A 22,174-nucleotide genomic window follows, 5' to 3' on the forward strand; every position below is an offset into this window, starting at 1 on the left:
TCTCCAAATTATTTTGAAATATTTCCAGAGAAAGACATAGAGATGCACAATGGTAAGGAGAAACAAAAACAGTTTTAATAGAGAAGGGTTATGGGTCTGCCTCAATTAATTTTTTAGTATATTTCACAGGAGGAAAGACCTTGGATTTGGTGACAGAGGTGCAAACAGAATCAACGGATGGATTTAGGATCATTCTCCTAAATCACCAACATCACTTATTTCTCACCAATGGCACTGAATCTTAACCTAAAGGGAGATCCCATGTGAAAAGGTTGTCCTTGTTTAAAATATCCTGTGTATTGTACACAGGTATACCGTGTCTCCAACATGACAGGATCATGGAAGCCAAGAAGGCAGAAGTGGAATTGCAAAAATAGAGTAAAACATTAAGAAGTTTCATAAAAGAAGTGACCCAATGGTTAGAAGGAGTCTTGAGAAGCCAGGATGAAAACTTAGGTCTCCTATTTCCTATCCCCCTACCCCCTTCGAGTGCAGGAGGATAGGAGCCTGTCACATGGGCCAGGGCTCTTGTCCAGCCTACTACGTAGGAACAGAGGGAAGCAGAATAAATGTTTGGAAAGAAGACTGTATTTTAATTCAAAAATTCCTAGATAAGACATCTTGATTAGGTCACTTTCCCTGTCTTAACTAAAATAAATAGGAATGAAGAATACCATATTAATTCTTCATGATACTTTAGTTCCAAGTTCAAGTATGTGAACATCATTCTAACCTCTTGGGGATGGCACTTTTAGATTTCCAGGTTTGGGGAAATTATTTCACTGGGAGGTTCTCAAAGGAGCTCTATTTCAAATATCTGCTAAAACATTTGCCTCTTACTGTCTTAAAAACTCAGATTCTTTCATTGAAATGGCATTAAGTAAACTTAAGACAATGCTACATGGATTAGAGACTACCTATAGTGCACCCAACTTGCAGGATGTCATTTAGTATGCGTGTATTCTTAACCCAACTTGCAGCCTAATGGCTTTTTAAAGTCAAAACTTCCATAGTCCTTTTGCAGTATGATTTTTGAGGCATATGGAGACAGAATCTGAGCCAATATATTTTATTCCAAATGAGGCTCTTTGATTTCTCACATGCTTTTGAAATGTGATGTTTGTCTACCCTGGAAAACTCTGCCGTTTCAACTCTCTGGAAAGCTAGGAAAGGTTTTGAATAATTGTATCATGGGTAGTTTTTGGATTCCACTACTTGTGGGCTACTTCTGCTGGATAAATGTGTTGCCTACATACAGTATTCTCTTAACCCTGCTTCTCAAAATCCTATATTTTCTGTTGTCAAGTCAAGAATTACAAAGCCACACTTTGGCATGGAGAATACTACTCTACAGTTACTCATCCTTAATGACCTGTAGTACAGAAAAGTGAAAACATTGTGGAGGAGATAAATTACCAAAATAGAAGATAAGCTGAAAAGGCAATGGAAAATATATCATACATATCAAAGTTGCTCATTTATGCTATTTTGCCATAACAATGCATACAACTGAAGCACTTCCCTTCTCCATTGGAGTTTTGTCTCTAGAGGTATTAAATATTAATCTTATAAAGAAAAGAAAGCAAAAAAAAAAAACCCTGAACACATGTTAATAGGTTAGGGTTTTAAGAGCAAATCACAAAAGCAGAATAAGTACTTGGAGGAAAAAAACAGGAAGAGAGAGAAAGAGGGAGAGAGAGAGAGAGGTGGGGTAAATTGTGGACCCTCCTTTTAAAGAAACAAAATTTTCCACAGAGTTGCATTAATACTTAAATTGGACTAACTCCATGTGAATCCTCGTAAGAAATACTATTTCCTTTCAATTAACTCATCTATCCTACAATTACATGTCATGAAATCTAAAGGCAAATATGTTTACCCAGTAAGGGAATAACATTCGAGGCAAAAGTGATGTCACAAACAGATGGGAATTCCAAGTAATACTGAGTCATGGTTCTAGGGGAATAAAACAATTACTTTACAGCTCAGTGCAATGTAGTATTTAAAGAAAAGGTATTTCAATAGAATAGCCCAGACAATTATTCAACATTTAACAGAGATTATATTAGTCTAGATATGTTAATTTGGATTTTATTCTGTTTTTTATTTATGTTAATAGGTTTGGTTACTGGTTTAAAGAAATATTAGAAGTTTATCTTTTATTTTTACAAATAGATTAACATTTGTCTTAGAGGGAGTTCTGCCCTTCATGGATAATACCTTTACCTGCTAAATCTAGATTTCTTTTTCTATAGTAAGTTTTAAACCAGTAATTGATGTAAAAAGATGCAACAAATAAAATTATAGCTACTAATGGGCATGTATTTATTATACAGTAGGCAATTTGCAGAAAGTTTTATGTATATTATTTTTATTAATCTTTATGACATTGGAATTCCATCAGGTAGGCATTTTGATTCCCAAGTAAACTAAAGAGAAGAAAACTGAGGCTTAAAGAGGGTAAGTGATTTGCCAAGGGTCACAGAACAAGTAAGAGGTACAGCTGGATTCAAATTTAAGTATATCTTGTCCTCAAGTCTTTCCTCTTTATTTCCTACTAAAACTAAAAAGGGTAATGGCACAGCAGCTAATCATATTTGATGTATTAAAACATAAATACTGGTGTCAAATATAAGTACTAAATCAGGCATCAGTTCCTTCCTACTAAAAACATTAAAAAACAATTCAGCAAAAATTCGTACTCTGCAGGATCATAGAGTGCTTTGATACCCTCATCTACAGCAGTGTTTCTCAACCTTTTTATTCATTGTTGCTCTCCTAAGGGACCTTCTTAGACATTTTTTTCATACTTGTCTCCCAAGAAATTTTAATACTATAGATATACCATATATCTATGTACCATATGTATATCTGTGCTCATACATAAAAAGAATAAGTTTTTGCTCCTTAGAATAATTTTTTTGCCCTTTGGGAGCAATGAATATGTATGATTTAGATATTATACCTCTATGTTTCTCCAAAACCTTTCAAGTCACTCTTATTGCTTACAATTGTATGGGCTTAGAGCTTTAGATTTTTAGCTTAAAGTTTTTCAGTGTGTTAAAATGCAAATATATAGAAAACGTTGATGAACCACAACAAGCCATTTGTATCCTGGTGTAAAATAGAAGCTCAGAAAGCCAGTTTGATAAGGGAAAGGAGAAGAATGGGAGGTCACTCTGTATTGGGGCAGGGAAGGGGAAGAGCGGAGAGCCTCTGGTGTTGAAATGCCTGCGTCACAACTGTACTTCAGTCCAGTCCCGTTGAACATATTAACACAAGTATTTGAAGAAAAGATGCTAGCTCCTATTCATGATGAACAAGAAAACTTAGTCATAAGCCACCTTAGTGGCCATCACCCTATTATTGTGTAAATATTAGGTTTCCTGCTTGTAAAGAATTTGCTGTTTGGTTCCTTTCAGGCCTGTTTGCGTGTTCCCAACTGCTATGTGGCCAAGAATAAGTAAGTTTATGTAACGTTCCAAAGAAACTGCTCAAAACCGTGGCTCATTTTAACTAAGATATGAATAGAAGGCAGAAATGAATTCACAAACACTTCTTTCACATGCACTGCAAAATATAACTTTTTACTCCTCCAGGCCAAAATGGTCTTAACCATTGAAGTAATTATAGCTCACAACTATAATTTAAAGTTAGATCTGGTTGATTCTAAATTCACACAGGAAAATAATTCACTCATCTTACTGGAACATTGACGTAAATAACTTTATAAAACCCATACAGTTTCAGCAATCCTAGAAAGTGTTGTGAATCCAAATAGAAACAGTTGATAAATTAATAAGACAGTTGATAAAATAATTTAGTAAGACAACAATAATTGTCTACCATTTATTGGTTAAAGTATTATGCTTGACACTTTATAAATATTACCTATTTAATCGTTACAGCAATCTTTAATATTGGTATCCTTATTTACAAAGAAAATGAGTGCAGAAAGGACAAGTAGTTTTCGTGAAACCACTTGGAAGTGGAGGAGAAGGGTTTTGAACTCCCATCATCTCAAGCTCATGCTTTGCCATCTCACCACAGTGAAATGATGGAAAACTCAAGTCTGCAAACCTTAAATTTTCAATCAAAGGGAGGAAACCTTGGGCAAATGAAGAGGTCATGGATATGATATGAAAATATTTTATGATTTTGCATGTGAGAAGCTACTGCATAGATGAATTCAACTGCAGGATCCCTTTTAAAAAATATGTATCTTCAAGGTGGGTATTGGTCAGAATTTTCTTTGAAGGTCATGAAACAGCATGTCTCAGGACCTTGGTAAATGATAAACAAAATGGTGAACACTTCACACAAGCGTAGGTGCTCTTTCCAGAGGCAGGGATCATTCTCCTAAATCACCAACATCACTTATTTCCCCACCAATGGCACTGAACCTTATGACCTAAAGGGAGTTTCCATGTGAAAAGACTGTCCTTGTTTAAAATCTCCAATGCATTTTACACAGGTATACAGTGTTGCCAATATCACAGGATAATGGAAGCCAAGAAGGCAGAAGTGGATTTGCAAAAATAGAGTAAAACTTTAAGAAATCATTTCATACAGGAAATGACCCAATGGTTAGAAGCAGTCTTGAGGAGCCACGATGAAAACCTGGGTCTCCTATTTCCTAGACTAGTACTCTTCTTTACTTATAATACTGTTACCAAGTAGAATAGTGGGCTTGAAATTAAGGCAAAACTTGAACTGCAAATACATAATCAATTATAGACTTTCTCTGTGCAGATTGACCTAATATGTTAATTACTTAAATACACTGAAAAGTAAAAGTATCATTTAAGCTACTAATATAGTTATGTTTACTATATCCCCAATAGGTTATCAAACATTCCTTAAAATAGTTACATTCTTATTTTTTTTTGAGATGGGGTTTCACTCGTTTCCCAGGCTGGAGTGCAGTGGCGCAATCTCAGCTCACCGCAACTTTCGCCTCCCCGCTTCAAGTGATTCTCTTGCTTCAGCCTCCTGAGTAGCTGGGATTACAGGCACATACCACCACAGCCAGCTAATTTTTGTATTTTAGTAGAGATGGGGCTTCACCATGTTGGCCAGGCTGGTCTTGAACTCCTGACCTCAGGTGATCCGCCTGCCTCAGCCTCTCCAAGTGCTGGGATTGCAGGCGCGAGCCACCATGCCTGGCCAAAATAGTGACATTCTTTATACCTCCAAAATAAAGACTGAAATTGTTCTCACACATGAGGTAGTGTTCACAACTGTTCGAAGTATAATCACTGCAATAAAATATATTTTCACCTAAATTTCCTGGAGATTTCAGATATCTGTTTAGCCTTTATTAACTGGAAAATTCCTCAACTCAATGTGTACTTACCAATAGATTCTCTTACGAAAATGTTTGTTTTCCAAATAAATAATCCAAGCCCTAAAATTTCACTAGTATTTTACAATATTAACTTGATAGTAAAAGAAGCATTTTATCAATGAAGCATTTTTAAAACATTTATATATTTTCCAATGAAATTCTTATTATGCTCTTTTATAAAATGAGAAAGCTTCCTATATCATCTTCTTTGAAAGGTTTGTCAGATTTCTATTAAGACTAATGCATGCAAATGTTATATTTAAAAATATTTTATATTGTATAATATACAATTATGAATATTACTAAAAATATACAGCATATTAAAATTTTACCTTTTCATTGTTCCACTACTTGAAACTAATTTTAAAACTGACAATCTAGGGATTTCCATTTATCTTAAGTATTATAATAATCACATAGAACCAGTCCTTTTTAGAATACGTATCAGAGCATTTAACAACATATAGACGTCCAAAATATTTTAAACAAGAAGTTGTGCTAACACTTAGATCATGAAGACTCTATTGTCTTTAACAACTACTGATTAAACCCAAAAATGTTATGCTGATTTTAATGGAACTAAAAAATACAGGTCAAATACTGATCATGACTGCTTCTTTAACTTATATACACATTTCCAAGATTATTCTAAATTGCCAAACCTTGTCACCTAAAAATCTAGTAGGACAAATAATACTAAACACAACATTGCCCAGCACTGTATGAAATCTGTATAACTCTGGAAAATTACAACAAAAGCCAAATATGTATATCTCCTATCATTTTAAAACAAATCAACATTTGTAAATTATGCTACTTACCAAGAAGCATGTTTCTTAGCAATAGTTAAGTCAGCCGGTCTATAATTTCTGTATAATAAATGTATCAGGAGCTGAGAGGTACATTAACCTGCCACCGGTTTTATTGCAGATTGAGTGTGAGCCTTCACAAACTCCTCCTTGTATCTTAAGTCTGCTGGAGTACTGGCCTGACTCCACTCACTCACTGTGTACTTCGTTTGAAACTAACAAACAATACAGTGACTGTCAGTAGATGTTGCCTCCTCAGTCTACAGAGCCAACAAAAATTATGGAAAAGTAAGTTACTTCACTGGAGTTTGAGATGTAAATTCTGAATTGATCATGCTGTTTCTTTAAAATTCCCAAGTAAAATTTTCTACTCAATTCACAAAGTATTTTTAAAATACTTGCTTTATTTTTATTTCTTCTGTTTTCCATTCCACTAATATTTGCTTATCTTTATTAATGTCTGCTTCCAAGTTCTTTTACTTTGATAAACTTTTTCCAGTTTTTATGATGCATCTTATCTCACCAATGATAAGAAAATACAGATATATTTATTATTCGGTGCTATGAGCTTGAACCTCCAATGATATTTCAGTTTCATGATGGATTGTTTGTTTGACTCCAATACAAAGATAATTATTTCTGAAATAGGCTTCTCCTGAGAGAAGAACAAGCCTTACAGTTACAGGCATGTGTATTAACAATTTTTAAAAAAGAAAATTTGTCTGGGCCCAAAAGAAGAATACATAGCATGCAAGCCAGCACTAAAGCCAATGAGATGAATGTGATTTCTGAGACTATGTTTTCTAAAATAGAAAATAAAATGACATGCACAAATATTAGCATATTTTAGCAATTGTTTTTATATTATCCTCCAATAGATACTATCTTTTACTTGTTATAATGACAGAGTACAGCAGTTTAGCTTCCCAGAGTCCTAATAGTGAAGTTTTATCGGTACTTGTTCATATTTCTATATTTCTCTATTCCTTAATTTGGAGATTCAATGTTAACATGACTAGTTACTTTTATTTTGGTTAAAGCAAGGTTAAAAAGTTAAAAATAGGAAAACTGAGGGAAAGAAAGTTTCAGAAAACTGTAAAAGGGAAATGAATCTAAGTTGGTAAAAGGAAAATGGGGAAGGACTATGAAAACAGGATAATTTAAAGCAAAGGGAACAAAGAAAGAGAAATGGCTAAGGATGACAATTACAAAAGAGACCAAGGCCTATTTTTGCCATTATGAAATTCAGGCCTCTTGCATATTCAATAGATACATCAAATATATGTATATTCCCTGGTTCTGAGGCCTTGAACTTGAACTGAGCCATGCCACTAGCATCCTGGGTCTCCAGCTTGCAGACAGCCTGTCATAGACTTCTCAGCCTCTATAATTGTTGAGCCAATTCCCTTAATCCCCCTCATATATCTATATCTGATATCTACATCTATATCTTATTGATTCTGTATCTCTGGAGAACCCTGTCTAATATACCAGGTGATGCTGGTATTACTTGTCCTGGGACTACACTTTGAGAACCATTGCTCTACCTTATTAGGTTACCCTAACATCTAGGATGAGGATAATATCCATTATAAATTGTTTTATTGCCATATTAATTAGAATCTAAGACTTTTCAAACACATTTTCACAGCTCTAAATCAGTGTGCATCCATAATCATTTGCGTCTTATAATAACTACCCACAAGGAAGTATTCACGACTGTGGTGGTCAATATCAGTGTGTGCATGAACTTGTGTCATAGCTGTTCATATTGTTCCCTCAGTTGAGTGATATCATTTTTGAATCACATAAATGACATCACTTTTGAGTCATATACCATGTATTGAGTTTAATTGCCATTTAAAAATGGTTTTGAAAATTTACACTTAAAAAGAAGTACTATGATTTGGCATTAAAGTCACTTTTTAAAAACCACTGTGATTTGGCTTTAATAATAAAAGTCATTAAATACTAAGCCAGCATATAAACAGGTGTGGGATATAGATTTGTTATTAGTGAAGCAGATGTTCATTATTGGAGGAATTACAGCAGTTTCAGATTGTCTTGCAAAGTAGCAATCCATTGCATGAAAGGACAGGAGAAAGGTAACCACAAGTGGAGGAAGCTGTGGTATATACAAAAGTTTGCCTATCACAGGCCCAGCAATGCAGCTAACTGAAGGCAGAAGAAATTGCTAATCCTTCTGAATAGAAATATCAAAAAGATAAGTGGCTGGTGTGAATAACAGATCCAGAGGGGCTTTTTTAAACGTCTGTGTTATAGTTTATGGGTAATTTTTTTTTTTTTTTTTTGGTGGGCAGTGGGTACTTCTTGCCTCTAGAACTTTGAAACAATACATTTCTGTTGTTTAAGGCATTCAGTCTGTGGTACTTTATTACCACAGCCTTAGCAAACTAATACAGCATCTTTACCAGGCGCTTGATATTAAGTATATGCTAATTTCATAAAAGGAAATGGAGAACTGAGCATCCGGCTCTTTCTCTAACAAGTTTGAATAGCAGTAGGATTATCTGTTTTTGGAAGGTTAGATGGAACTGGGATGTTTTCCATTTGTACTCTCCTTAATTCTTCCTTAATCAGGTTGGCCATGGATGTCTATTTAAGTGAATCCCCCCCAAAAGAATCAGCTGCTTTTTAAAATACTTGCTTTATTTTTATTTCTTCTGTTTTCCATTCCACTAATATTTGCTTTTTATCTTTATTAATGTCTGCTTCCAAGTTCTTTTACTTTGATAAACTTTTTCTAGTTTTTATGATGCATACATGGCTCATTTATTTTCAATTTTTGTTTTTTATTAAATACTAAAAATCATTGAGGAGCACAGTTTTAATAAGAAGTTTTCCCTTCCATTAACTTTTAGATACTCTATCATTTTAGTTTTGATTTTCCTCTTCTCTCCTTACTTGATGGTTAAAAGACTTAACTGAGAGAGAAATAACAAGGTATCTTTCAATTCTGTCTTTAATATTAATTAGTTGTTTTTGCCTAAGGCCAATTACTCACCTTGCATGAACTTCTGTAATATTGACGGTGTGAGGATCAAACCAACTAAATATGATGGTACTTGAAACCATAAATTGCTACACATATTTAAGTTATTGTTTTCATTATTTTTTGACCAATTAGCTACACACAAAAATATCAGAGTACCTTAGGGACACCAGAATTGCTTAACTGAATTTTAATTCTTCATTTATGTTTAGTGTATTATCAGTCATCCCTCAAGTTGTCTACAGGTTTATGATTTTATGGAAAAATGATAACCATTCACCTACTAGCACTCAGTTTTAGTTGCTGTCTTTCATCAAGGAGAGCAATTATTTTAAAAATTTATCTCATGAACGCTAGGCGCGGTGGCTCACGCCTGTAATCCCAGCACTTTGGGAGGCCGAGGCAGGCGGATCATGAGGTCAGGAGATCGAGACCATCCTGGCTAACATGGTGAAAACCCGTCTCTACTAAAAATACAAAAAATTAGACGGGCGTGGTGGCGGGCGCCTGTAGTCCCAGCTAATCGGGAGGCTGAGGTAGGAGAATGGCGTGAACTCGGGAGGCGGAGCTTGCAGTGAGCCGAGATCGCGCCGCTGCATTCCATCCAGCCTGGGCGACAGAGCGAGACTCCGTCTCAAAAAAAAAAAAAAAAAAAAAAAAATCTCATGAAAGAATCTCTCATTATCATTTAAAAGCAGGAACAGAAGAAACTAAGTGCTAGCTATGCGTCAGGCATCCTTCCGGGGACTTTACATTCAGTTCTCATACAGTCATTGTACAGATTAAGCCAATGAGACCAAGATAGCACAAGCAAATTGTCCAGGGTCACAAATCTTCAAATCCAGTGGTCCTACCCAGCTTCCTCCTTGTAAAATCCAGAGAATTGAGGCAGCAGAATTAAACTAAAGTTTTTCTGTAATGATTTCCAGAGAATGTAAAATTTCATATTTTTTGGAATTATAAATAGTTTTAAGTAAAAAATATTTTTTTTTTTTCAAAAAAGCAAGTGGTTCTTTTGGTTTCTCTTTGGCTTTTTTTTTTTCCTTCAGGGGATTTTTTTTTCTTTTATTCCCCTCTTCAGAGTAGAACTAAAGTATCTAAGAGTAGATTGTTTAAACCACACCAATATTTCACATTTTTCTATAATGCTAAATATTAAGTTCTTGAATTATCCATTAATATTTCATATTTATTGTCTAAAATAAGTGTAAATTGTTCAATTGCATTCATTTTAATACTTAGGCTTCACTTAAGACCATCTAAAGGCATTAACTAATATTATTTCTGGTGAAATTATGCTTAACTGAGGAAAAATTGTAGCCGAATAGTTTTTCAATTTTTCACAAGTACAGCTCTCTGTAGATACAGATAATTGCTATTAACTAGGCTACTACTTATTTGAATAGATTGAACATTGAGGGAGTTACATGAGTTCTGAGTCTGAAAATCCAGAAGAGAAAAATAAAGAACAAAAAGAAAAAAATTGTTGTGTGAGTGAAAATGTTCATTACATTATGTATAATCACAAACATATGGACACATCCTAAATGTCCAACAGCAGAAGACTGGATGTGTCTTGTATTATGAAATATTATAAAATATATTAAGTGATATAAGAAAATGTACATACACTATGTAACAAGTGGGGAAAATAATGTAGAACTGGATATATAATAGAAGTCAACTATGTAAAAATATACATATCATATATTGATGTAAATGTTTGTGCACATTTACAGAAACATATTTGGAAGGAAGTACTCCAAAATCTGTTAACATTGCAGGATTTTTGTTTATTATTTACCATTTTCTGTGTTTTTACTTTTTTTGCACTAAATTATAAAAACCCTCATTTAAAAAATGATAGTGGGAAGTGTTTGACTATGAAAAAAATTTTAAACAGTTTATAAAAACTTGGATTCAGAATTAGCTAATTTAAATAATCCCATTTAAAAACTTTATAGTAAGTAAATCTTGAGAACTAGACAAATTCCCAGGTTTCTTCTGGGCCGTACTGATCCTCTGGTTCCACAGGAGTAAGGTGCTAGGCCTGTGCAAGCACGTGGACTAAAGACACACGGGAGGCTCACACTGATCACTGTCACAATGCTAATGTATAGTAAGTGGTGTGAAATAAACAACATAAAGGAAATGAGGATAATGATAATACAATATTTATAGTGAGCTACAATGATCAATTCCCGCAACTCCTCAGTGACTTAATCTTTTCACCTGTAGTATCTGCATCTCTGCATCCATATAGATGAGCATCAGAAGCTTTCAGAGAGGTGATGACGAGAATCCAGCTCAGAGACTGGCTTACATGCATGATTTTTTTCAAGGCACTAAATCTTTTTCACCACTACGGTGACAATGCCATTTCTACCCAGACATTTAACTTGGACAAAGGCAATAATTTATACGTTTGGAAGCTGCGGCTCCCCAGAAACCTTTATAACCTGGCCCTCATTAAACTATTTATTCTCTATCAGTGTCATCAGATTTCCATGACAACATCACGCTGTATAATCAACATGGTTCGAACTAGTCACATCTTTGCACAACTGGACACATCAAAATAATTGTATTATGTCATCAGTGATGCCACCAGACAGAGCACCAGCTCCCTTCCTACACTGGATAGCAGACGTTCAAATAACGCAATGTAGGTTTTCCTAAAATAGATGCTCAGATATGTCAAGTTTTTCAACAGGGTTAAATTAGAAGTGCTATCTTTTTTTTTTTTCTTTTCATTTAAAAAAAAATCTCTACCTGCTCAATGTATACCCACTCTACCTTGCTTATTTCTATGCAAAGCCAGCTGGTCCTCTCAGGCAGAGTTTGCCTAGGGCAGCAAAATGCTCTGACTGTTTATCCCATGTGAGTGATTGCCAGCTGGGAGGAATGTGTTTTTCCTAGTTTGCCCATGGCATATATTCAGAGGGAGATGGACAAGACCATGAAACTTTGTACAAGTCGCACAGTTTTGTAGTGAGATGATATTTTGCAAACAAAAATGTTAAGATACATCTAATGTTGGGAGATGAAAGCCCAAAAAGATTTTAAGATTTGCTCCCTATTAACATAAAATCTAAAAAAAATTTCATTAAGGAAATCACCATAGGTTTTTGTTTTATTTCCAGAGTTGGTTACAATAGATGTTTGCCTATGAGACTGAAAATCATGTATTTTATAAGAGTTGAGTTAGCTGAAGTCAAAACTGCTGAAATATCGTCTGAGAGGCATATGGCAATAGCTTCCCCTCCTGTGATTTAACATTGTTAAATTAGCTATAAAATATTTTTATCAGTAATATACTGTTTTCCAAGATAATTCACACATATAAATTCCAAACCATCTTACTAATGAAAAGATAAAGGATTGCTTCATTCAGGGGAATTACTTGCTTTCAAATGGAGAATATAGTTTTAAGAAAAGATTTAACAAACAGATGTTTCAAAATTTTGAATACATGTTATATAATCATAGAATCTCAATTCTTAAAATGACTCCAAAACCATCTCATTTTATTAATGAAGAAACTGACACCAAGAGAGGAAAATCATCTTTTTTTTTTGTCAAATAATCATAAGAATATTTATTCATTCTTTTAATCTTTATTGAGTTTCCATTCTGGGCCAGGCCCTGCTCTGAGTGCTGAGGCTACGGGAGCTCTTGCTCTCATGGAACTTATGTTAGACTAATGTTTCCTGATTCTGATCACAGAGCTCTTTTCATTTGCTCACATATTTCTCTCACCAAAAGGGCTAATCTACAAAATGTATGAACAGACTCCAACATCTGACAAAAATACCTGTAGCTGTTGTTGTTGTTTTTTGTTTTATCTAGATTCATTTATCATGGTTATTTTTTGAAGATTATCACATTTATCCATATTAAGATGAAAACTCCCAGGTCTTTATGTGTCTTTCAGTTAACAACTTGCATAATAAAATATGTATTACATTTCTTATATTAATTAACATTTTTTGGGTTTGGTGGCATAATACAATTGGCAAAATTTTAGTTTTTCATCTCTGCTGCCCTCTTCCCCCCACCAAAAGGGAAAGATTCTGAAATTCAGAGATATTGATATGCTATTTCTGTGGATTTTTTTCCCCAACTCAATCTTAATACCTACATTAACATTCAGTAATGCAACAAAATAATTTAGAGAATAGCCATATAGTATCGAGTGAGCTTAAAACAGTCTGGAAACACAGTAGTAAACCAGGAAGACTTCTGAGTTTTTGTCACTAATATTCTGCAGAAATCATGTACTATGCATGTGCTGCAACTTTTACCTGGAAAAAACTTAGTCTCCCTCCCCCCCACCATTTTGTAGTTAAGGCAGAATACAAGAAATGTGTCCAGTGCTTGCCAGCCCCCAGCCTCTTCTACCTAATCTAACCCCTTTTTGTACCACATGACTCTATCCCATTCCAGCCATAGCTGACTGGACCAGGTGTGGGTCACTGATTTCGGGGCAGCTAATCAGACACAATGTGACTGGTGGCCTGGTTCAAAACGATGTGCTAATCCATCCCTCAGGAACTGGGAAGATGTGGAACAGTGGAGTAAATGCTGGAAAGTGCCAAGCTCTGAACAGCTTCATTGGCAGCTATGTTTAAGCCAGAGTTTATAGGGAAGAAGGAAAGGTCCCTAGAGAGAGGAGAATACAACATACAGTGCAGAGATGACCAGATATCATAAGAGAGGTATACACTGACTTGAGGGAAAAGATGATTCCCTATGATTTTCCAGGTAACTGACATCAGTTGTATTTAAGTCCCAGCCAGCTACAATCACTGACCTTAGATTTCTTGAGATTCACTGTTGTATTCTCAAAACAGACCTCCTCCTCCTTAAGTTGGCCTGAGTCTGTCTATTCCTTGCAACCAAACAAATCCTAATCAAGAGAAAATGACTTTTCACGTATCTAGACTTAGTTTTCTCCACAAGAAAAGAGCAAAAGTTAATCACAAGTGATGGTACTCAATTCCTCTTAAGTCTCTGAAGGATCATCCTATCCATAAGTCAATTTGGAGTACTGGTTAATATGCATTAATATTAATGACACCATGATATTTAATAATTTCTACAACCTTCTATATATAAAATTATGAGGGTCACAGAAGACCATAGTACTGAATTAATCTTTTCCATTTTTTAACCTCAAAATATTTGTTGGTAATACTCATATAGTTACCTTAATTTTTCCCTTTTCTCTATCAAAGGTGCTGAAAAACAGGCATCTGAAGAGACCACAATATACAGTAGTCTGTCCTTTTGATTTGCCATGCCCTCATATTCTCCTTTATCAAACTACTTTTTAGCTACTTCTTCCAGTGAATTTTGCTCCTAAAATAGTATATTCATGATGGGTTCCTCCTTTATTTCTATTTCATTAGTCATTAACCCTCCTTAAGCTAAATGGATGGAAACAGTGCATTTTCTCTATTTTTGTTTGCACATAAAGATTTGGTTAAAGTGTTTTGCTCTACAAGTTCATCTTATCACACAGTTCCTGGAGCCAACACCTTTCTTTTTTTTTTTTTTTTTAACTTTCTATATTTGATTAGTTTCTGCTGAGAGGAGGGTCTACAAAAATTCATTGCTACTACCTCATAAGCTAGGGGAAAAAAGGGACAATTTTAATTTTTTGTGATGTAAAGGAAACATCATTTTTAGCCAAATCATAGTTTTAATTCTAAAGATTTATTAAAATGATACAGTAGATATTGTGCAGCAATGGCTTGGAGCCATCTGAAGCACTTTACCCTGTCTGGGGTTTTCCAACTAAAAGGAAAATAAAGAATTTTGGGCAGTTAAAAGGGGAAATATTGATATAATTAAAAGGCTAGAAAACAAAAGGAAAGCTTAAAAAGTATAGTAAAAAGAATATCAAGGTACAGCTTCAAGTATGTAAATGGCTGTATGTTACAAAGCATAGAGACAACACAGAACTATGAAGAGAGCATATTTATATTTAGTTGTACTACTGTCAAAAAATACTTGAGTGTCAGAAGATGCTTTAAAGGTTCTATCTGTATTAACTAATATATTATGATTATTCTAATTTTACACATGAGGAAACTGAAGCCCAGAGACTCTAGGTAACTTACCCAAGGTTACATAGCTAGGGGAAGTTGAGGAGTGGGGATTTGAAAGCAGGAGTTCTGGCCCTGCAGCCGGACCCTTTAATCACAGACTGTCCATCCTCTGTAAATATCTTGAACAGTAGTTCTCAAATTGGTTACATATTAAAACCATCTCAGGAGCATTTCAAAGTACACCAACACATAGGCTCGAACTCCCAAAGATTCAGACTTAATGGGCTTAGGTGGGGCCTGTCATCAGCATATTTAAAATTCCCAGCATATTTTTTAAGTCTCCAGATGATTCTAAAGTGCAAAGTGACCACTAAGCCCAGATCACCTGGCTATTTAGTGGCCTAGCCAGAAGCAGCCTCTAGGTATCTTGACTTTTTCCTCTACATGATAGTGGCTCCCAGCTTCAGCAAATTGAGGGGGAAAATGAAAAAACACATTTTTACTCTGGAGTAATGAATTTGAGTTTCTTAAACCAAGAAGCTTTCATTCACTGGTGATCATGAAACACAAGGATGGGGTTTCTTTGGAGGTTATTAAAGCTAAGATGGATTCTCAATTTTCTGAAATAATTATGTTAATGAGAAACTGATGAACATTTCCAAACTTCTTTTAGGTACTGAAGAACTAATACAGTTTAGACACCAGAGGTCTCACAAGTTAAACCCTCTATATAATACAGAGCCCTCCTGAGAATCAACTTAAGGTGAAATGTTTTAAAGAAGAGATAATGGTGGTGGTGTGGTGGTACATGTTGAGCAACCAGCTCTCTGGAGGTGAGGGAAAATCCCTGATTAGCAGTGTTTACAAAATCATGGTGCTGGCCGGGCGCGGTGGCTCACGCTTGTAATCCCAGCACTTTGGGAGGCCGAGGCGGGCGGATCACGAGGTCAGGAGATCGAGACCATCCTGGCTAACACGGTGAAACCCCGTCTCTACTAAAAATACAAAAAAATTAGCCGGGCGTGATGGCGGGCGCCTGTAGTCCCAGCTACTCGGGAGGCTGAGGCAGGAGAATGGCGTGAACCCGGGAGGCGGAGCTTGCAGTGGGCCGAGATTGCGCCACTGCACTCTCGCCTGGGCCACAGAGCGAGACTCCGTCTCAAAAAAAAAAAAAAAAAAAATCATGGTGCTAATACTTTCACCATTGCCAATTGACAGCTAACAGCATGACATTATTGAGTGTGGAATTGGGAGGAGATGTACAGTAGCATGCTACTCTCTAGTACTTCCACCATACAGATGTAACAGTCATAAGAAAAACTCAAGAGCATGGATAGCAGTAGAACGTAAAAACAAAAACAAACAAAAAAAAATAGGAACTAATAGGTCTTGAAAATTTGTTACTCACTTTGAAATACAATTCATTTAATGTACATTTATATAATTTATTTTAAAAACAGCTATATTTAATAACTGGCAAAAGTTCTGAAAAGCTAATGATTGGTTCTCATGAGCTGGTCCAACATACCACTGAAAAGGCATCCGTTTAATCACGGAGTTTTCTTGGAGAAGGACAATATTTAATTAAATAATTTGAACAAGAATGAGTGAATTTAGGGGGTACATACAGTCTAAAGAGATAAATTTTCTTCATTAATTGAGATTTCTCAAAAATGAGAACTTTTGATTAAATCCTCCAGAGCAAATCCAGCCTTCATTGTGAGCAGTGGAGGATAAAGGCTAAGAGTGTGGGCTCTGGGTCAGAATAACTGGACTTAGTTTTCCTAGCTTGCCCATCTGTAACTCTGTGACCTTGGAAAAGTCACTTATCTATAGTTTCTCCATCTATGGAATGTGATGATAATGGCACCCACCTCACAGAATTGTTGAAAGAATTAAATGAGATACTACATGTGAAGCACTTGCAACAGTGACTGGCACACAGCAAATGCTTGGTGAATATTAGCTACCACTATTGTATCAAAGTGCCTTCAAGTATAAAAACTTTGTCTATTTGAGATGGTTCTGGCGACTGTCAGCTGCTTAATGTTCCTCAACACAATAAGAACTTCCAAGAGTGTCTTTGGCTTTTCTTATGCTCCTCCCGCTTGAAATACTGAATTCCTGCATGTGATTTCCAGCTCAGCTCAAAAATATTCTCTTTTTCTGATTAGCCTGCACCATGGATGCAATCTGGTCCCTCTTGAGGGATTTTAGTAAAATGTGAGAAGAGAGAGCTAATTTAAAAATGGAATTATTAATAAAAGGGAAGCAGAACTTAAACCTTTGCGAAATTCAGAACCTATTATATTGAAAAGCATATTCAAGACAAAACACGAAGGGTGTGGCCAAATGATGATGATCCAAGAAGATGAGTCAGCTGTCTAAACAAAATCCAGGACCTATTATTGTCCAAGATGCTAAAACAAATGACTCCAAAAGCAATTCAGAAATCATCAGGGCTGCCACCCTCATCATAGGCACACAGTAGAAGGGAGGTAGGTAGTACAATTTCAACGAAGGGGCTACAGGCACACATGAAACTTCATTGTAGCCCTGTTCCCCCAGCCCCTCTGTCTCAAGGCTCTGCCACCTGCACTCCACTCTCTGAACTCCATCCTATGTTCCCCAGCTGCCCCAGATGTAGCATGCACTGCAGCCAGCAAAGCAGTGGGGGTGTGGCTGCCTCCACCTAGATTTGGATGCCCTGGAGGACTGTGGGAACCAGGCAAAGAACTGTCACCAGGACAGCACCACTGCACAGAGCCCCTACTAGGGCAAGGCCTAGCAGAACTGGGACAAAATGGCTGCTCCTGATACCCTGGGGTGGTAGAGACACCCGGGTAAGATTCCAGCTCAAGAGAACTGCAGGTGTCCAATTCAAACTCTTGAGAGCTGTGACATGGGCTATGCCCTACAAAGCAGTGTGGACAGGGCTGCTTGGAATCCTGCAGATCCAACCTCTGCCCCAATGTGTCCAGAAGGTGGGACCACAGCTCCAGTGGGTCTGGAAGGCAGAGCTTTGAATCAAAGATTATTCTTGAGCCTTAAGATTTTGTTCTCACTCAGAATTTATCACTTATTTCTTCTTTCCTATTTCTCTCTTTTGGAATAGGAATGTTTGTCCAGTGCCTACCCCACCACTACAGTTTAGAAGCACAAAACCTGTTTGATTTCAGAGGCTCACAGCTGAAGGGGAATTTGCCTCAGAATAAATCATACCTTAAGTCTCACCCATATCTGATTTTGATAATATTTAGATGAGACTTTGGACTTTAGACTTTTGAGTCAATGCTGAAACAAGTCAAGACTTTCGGTTCTCTTGGGATGGGATGAATGTATTTTGTATGGAAGAAAGACATGAGGTTTAGGGGAGGAGTGAGAGGTAGAATGCTATGGTCTGAATGTTTGTGTCCCTCCCAAATTTTATGTTGAAATCCTAACCCCCAAGGCGATGGTATTAGGAGGTGAGGCCTTTGGGAGACATCTGGGAGTAGAGGCCCGATGAATGGAATTAGTGCCCTTATAAAAGATGTCTGAGAGACTCCTTACCTCTTCCACCAAGTGAGGATGCAGAGAAAACTCTTTTTCATCTATGATGAAGTGGGTCCTTACCAGACACAGAATCTGCTAGCCCCTTGATCTTGGAATTCCCAGCCTCAGAACTGTGAGAAATAAATTTCTGTCGTTTATAAGCCACCAAGTTTAAGACATTTTTTTGTTATAGTAGCCAAAATGAACTAAGACAGCTGAGGGCATTCCAATGTGGGTATCCTAGAGACTTAGGTCTGACAGCTGAATAGAAGCAAAAATCAAGGCTCTGCTCCTCTGCAAGGTGGGGAGTTAAAAAATGAAACTCAAGGCCAAATCCTTTGCAGAGAAATCTACTCAACAGCAAAGCGAGACGGCAAGAAAAGCCGTCTGTTTTGGTTAGATATTGAGGGGAGAGAGTGGCTTTCTGAGAATTTATAACCATAGTCCTACCCTTACATGGTTCAGGATTTAGATATTCACTATCTTCCTGGTCCAAGAAACCCCAAGCCAAGCGAAGTAACATATATGTTCCAGGGTTGGTTGCATCCTAGAGCACCTGGAAGTAACTAAAGTGATTCTTTCTAAAGAAGTGCATCCTCAACCCATGGCTTGAAGTTCCCACAGAGAAAGCCCAGTGGAACATGAGCTCACAATCCAAAATTATGAGCCACCATGAGCAAAAGACAGAAACAGAAAACATCATACGCTTTTCACAAATCTCTTAATTAAAGTTATAAAGTATAGTATACAAAATATGAAATAATTGAAGAATTATGGATAGTAGACCCCATAATGATCATTAAGAGATTAAATAACTGGTATTAATGTTTTATGTGGAAGAAGAATTTAGAAGAAAAAATGAGAACATGTGTTGGAATTATGGCAGTTTTCAAACAAGACCCTGAATAAAATTAAAAAGGCAATTTTTCTCTCAGGCCTACCTGTTGCCCCCCTTCCTTCTGCCTCCTTCACTTGACTTTCCTCTTCTCCAGCCCCTTTGGAAAGCCTACTATATTCATATGTATTCTGACTCATCTCAGAATGACATCAACTCAAACTACAAAAGCATCACTGCCAACAATTAAGTGGAATCTGTTTAATCTAAAGACAATACTCATATTCTAGTTTTATTTGAAGATACTATTTCATAACTTTTTAAAATACTCTCACAATGGAATATTTCTTAAACTTAATAAAGAACCACATTATTTCATTTACAGCAGTAAATAAGATTTATAAACCTTTTTATGCAACATAAAATCATGCAGACTTTTATCTGAAAATGAAATGTTTGATATAACTATCAAAAGATTAAATTAGATGTATTGATCTTAGAAGCACAGTTACTATATATGTTATTATATATCATTGTTTATACAGAACTATATCCTAAATTATCAATAGTTTTTGTAAGGCCAGGGACAACTTGCAATGCTATTATTATATATTAAAGGCTAATATTGCATTCCTTTGAAAAAAAGTATTTATCTATTTAACAAGATTTAAATGAACATCTACTCTATGCCTGGTACTACAATATGCACTGTAGATAATTAATGAGCAAAAAATGGTCGCAATTCCTGCTCTCATGGAGCTTTTAATGTAGTGAAGGAGACGGATTATTATTAATCAAGTAAATGTAGAATTGTAATTGAGCAACTATGACGTATTTTTCTTGACTGTAGTAAAAATACATTGGCTTTATGACCTTTTAAAATAATATTTAATTTGTCAAAAGTTAGGGGGCAGTGGGTGGTTTAGTCTTATGAATGAATTCATTCTTATAAATATAACCCAAATTTCACATGGGAAACCTTCACCTGATACTGATTTCTATTGAATTATTTTAAAGTCATTATCAATCTTGCCAATATTCTAGAATTTTCAGGATCCTTTCCTTATAACTCCAAAAGACAAACTGAATTTATCAGCTTCAACAATTTAGCAAATTGTGTTTTTATCTGCTTACAAACTATGAAGTCACACATATTATGTGAAATATTTTAATAGATTTTGAAGATTTCTTCTTTTCCTTATGTTACCATTACTGCATTTTAAGGAATTTTAAACTTGATTCTGACTCCAGCTGTCTGCTAGATGGAGACACAGGTCAGCACATGGGTGGTCTAGTCCCAGAGAGGGAAAACTGAATAGAGGGACAGGGCTCACAGGTAGGGAGAAAGCCTTATAACCCCCAAATCCCCAAATACTAACTCCTCACAATCCTCATAGTTCCCTAAAATCCTATCTAACCCATGCAAAACTCACTGTAGGAAACACTATACAGAGTAAAAAGAAAATCAAGGTTGTGTTAAATTTGTATACAGTTACCCTTGAATACTATGGGAGTTAGGGGCAGCAACCCCCATGCAGTCAAAAATTCACAAGTAACTTCAACTCCCAAAAATCTAACTGCTAATAGTCTACTGTTGACCAAAAGCCTTACTGATAACACATTTGGTTAACAAATATTTTATATAGCAGATGTATTATACATTATATTTTTGCAATAAGGTAAGCTAGAGAAAAGAAAATCTTATTTAGAAAATAAGGAAGAAAAATATATTTACTATTCATTAAGTAGAAGTGGATCATCATATGGTTCTTCACCTTAGTCGTCCTCATGTAGAGTAGGCTGAGGAGGAAGAGGAAGAGGAGGCACTGGCTTGCTGTCTCAGGCTGGCAGAGGTGGAAGAAAATCTGCATGTAAGTGGACCCATGCAGTCCTATCCCACATTGTTCAAGGGTCAACTGTATTTGCTGACTTAGTTCAATAATCGGGTCTTTTGATAAAGTAGTTTTCGGATAATTGACTCTAATCCAATTGACCTAGAATTACCAGTACCTTGTCAATCTGATTTGTTCCTACATCGTCAAATAAGAATACACTGGCAGCTTGAGGCTGAAGGCAGAACTGAAGAGTGAGTGTGAGTCATGCAGGTGAGAGGAAACAGGTGGAGTAAGGCAAGAGCAGGAGGAAAAGGGCAGGTATAAGGGCCTGAACTGGTATGAGAAAGTGGGTTGAGGTGAGGCCAAGGAGTGCTTTGTGTCCAACTAGGATGAATTTGGTAGGCCACTTTCAAGAGTTGTATCTGTGTACTAAGTCATTGAAAAATACTGACAGTAATTTTTTTTTTTTTTTGAGATGGAGTCTCATTCTGTCACCAGGCTAGAGTGCAGTGGCATGATCTCCGCTCATTGCAACCTCCGCCTCCTGGGTTCAAGTGATTCTCCTGCCTCAGCCTCCCAAGTAGCTGGGGTTACAGGCGCCCACCACCACACCCGGCTAATTTTTTGTATTTTTAGTAGAGACGGGGTTTCACCATGTTGGCCAGGCTGGTCTCGAACTCCTGACCTCGTGATTGGCCCACCCTCAGCCTCCCACAGTGCTGGGATTACAGGCATGAGCCACTGCGCC

At 36.3% G+C, this 22,174-nt stretch overlaps 1 protein-coding gene and 1 long non-coding RNA gene across 20 annotated transcripts in view; one reads left to right on the forward strand and one right to left on the reverse strand.

The window, feature by feature from the left end:
- Nucleotides 1-22,174, reverse strand: part of ZNF385B (zinc finger protein 385B) — a 419,631-nt gene that overhangs the window by 211,927 nt on the left and 185,530 nt on the right. Inside the window, exon 1 of one of the 16 annotated variants that reach the window (NM_001352812.2) lies at nucleotides 6,169-6,286. The exons of the other annotated variants lie outside the window; for them this stretch is intronic. Coding sequence (NP_001339741.1) covers nucleotides 6,169-6,178 — 10 coding nt within the window. The 5' untranslated portion in view covers nucleotides 6,179-6,286. Of the gene's footprint in view, nucleotides 1-6,168; nucleotides 6,287-22,174 lie in introns of those variants that run through there. 16 annotated transcript variants of the gene reach the window in all.
- Nucleotides 1,891-6,539, forward strand: LOC101927073 (uncharacterized). Of its 4 annotated transcripts, none has more exons than XR_007087323.1 (5): nucleotides 1,891-2,013; nucleotides 2,405-2,460; nucleotides 3,423-3,463; nucleotides 3,909-4,229; nucleotides 6,278-6,539. It is a non-coding gene; the product is annotated as an uncharacterized LOC101927073 (long non-coding RNA). The 4 variants fall into 4 exon arrangements; XR_007087324.1 differs by having other exon boundaries at nucleotides 3,942-4,229; XR_007087326.1 differs by having other exon boundaries at nucleotides 4,051-4,229.

Source organism: Homo sapiens, chromosome 2, assembly GCF_000001405.40.
Source record: "Homo sapiens chromosome 2, GRCh38.p14 Primary Assembly".
NCBI lineage: Eukaryota > Metazoa > Chordata > Mammalia > Primates > Hominidae > Homo > Homo sapiens.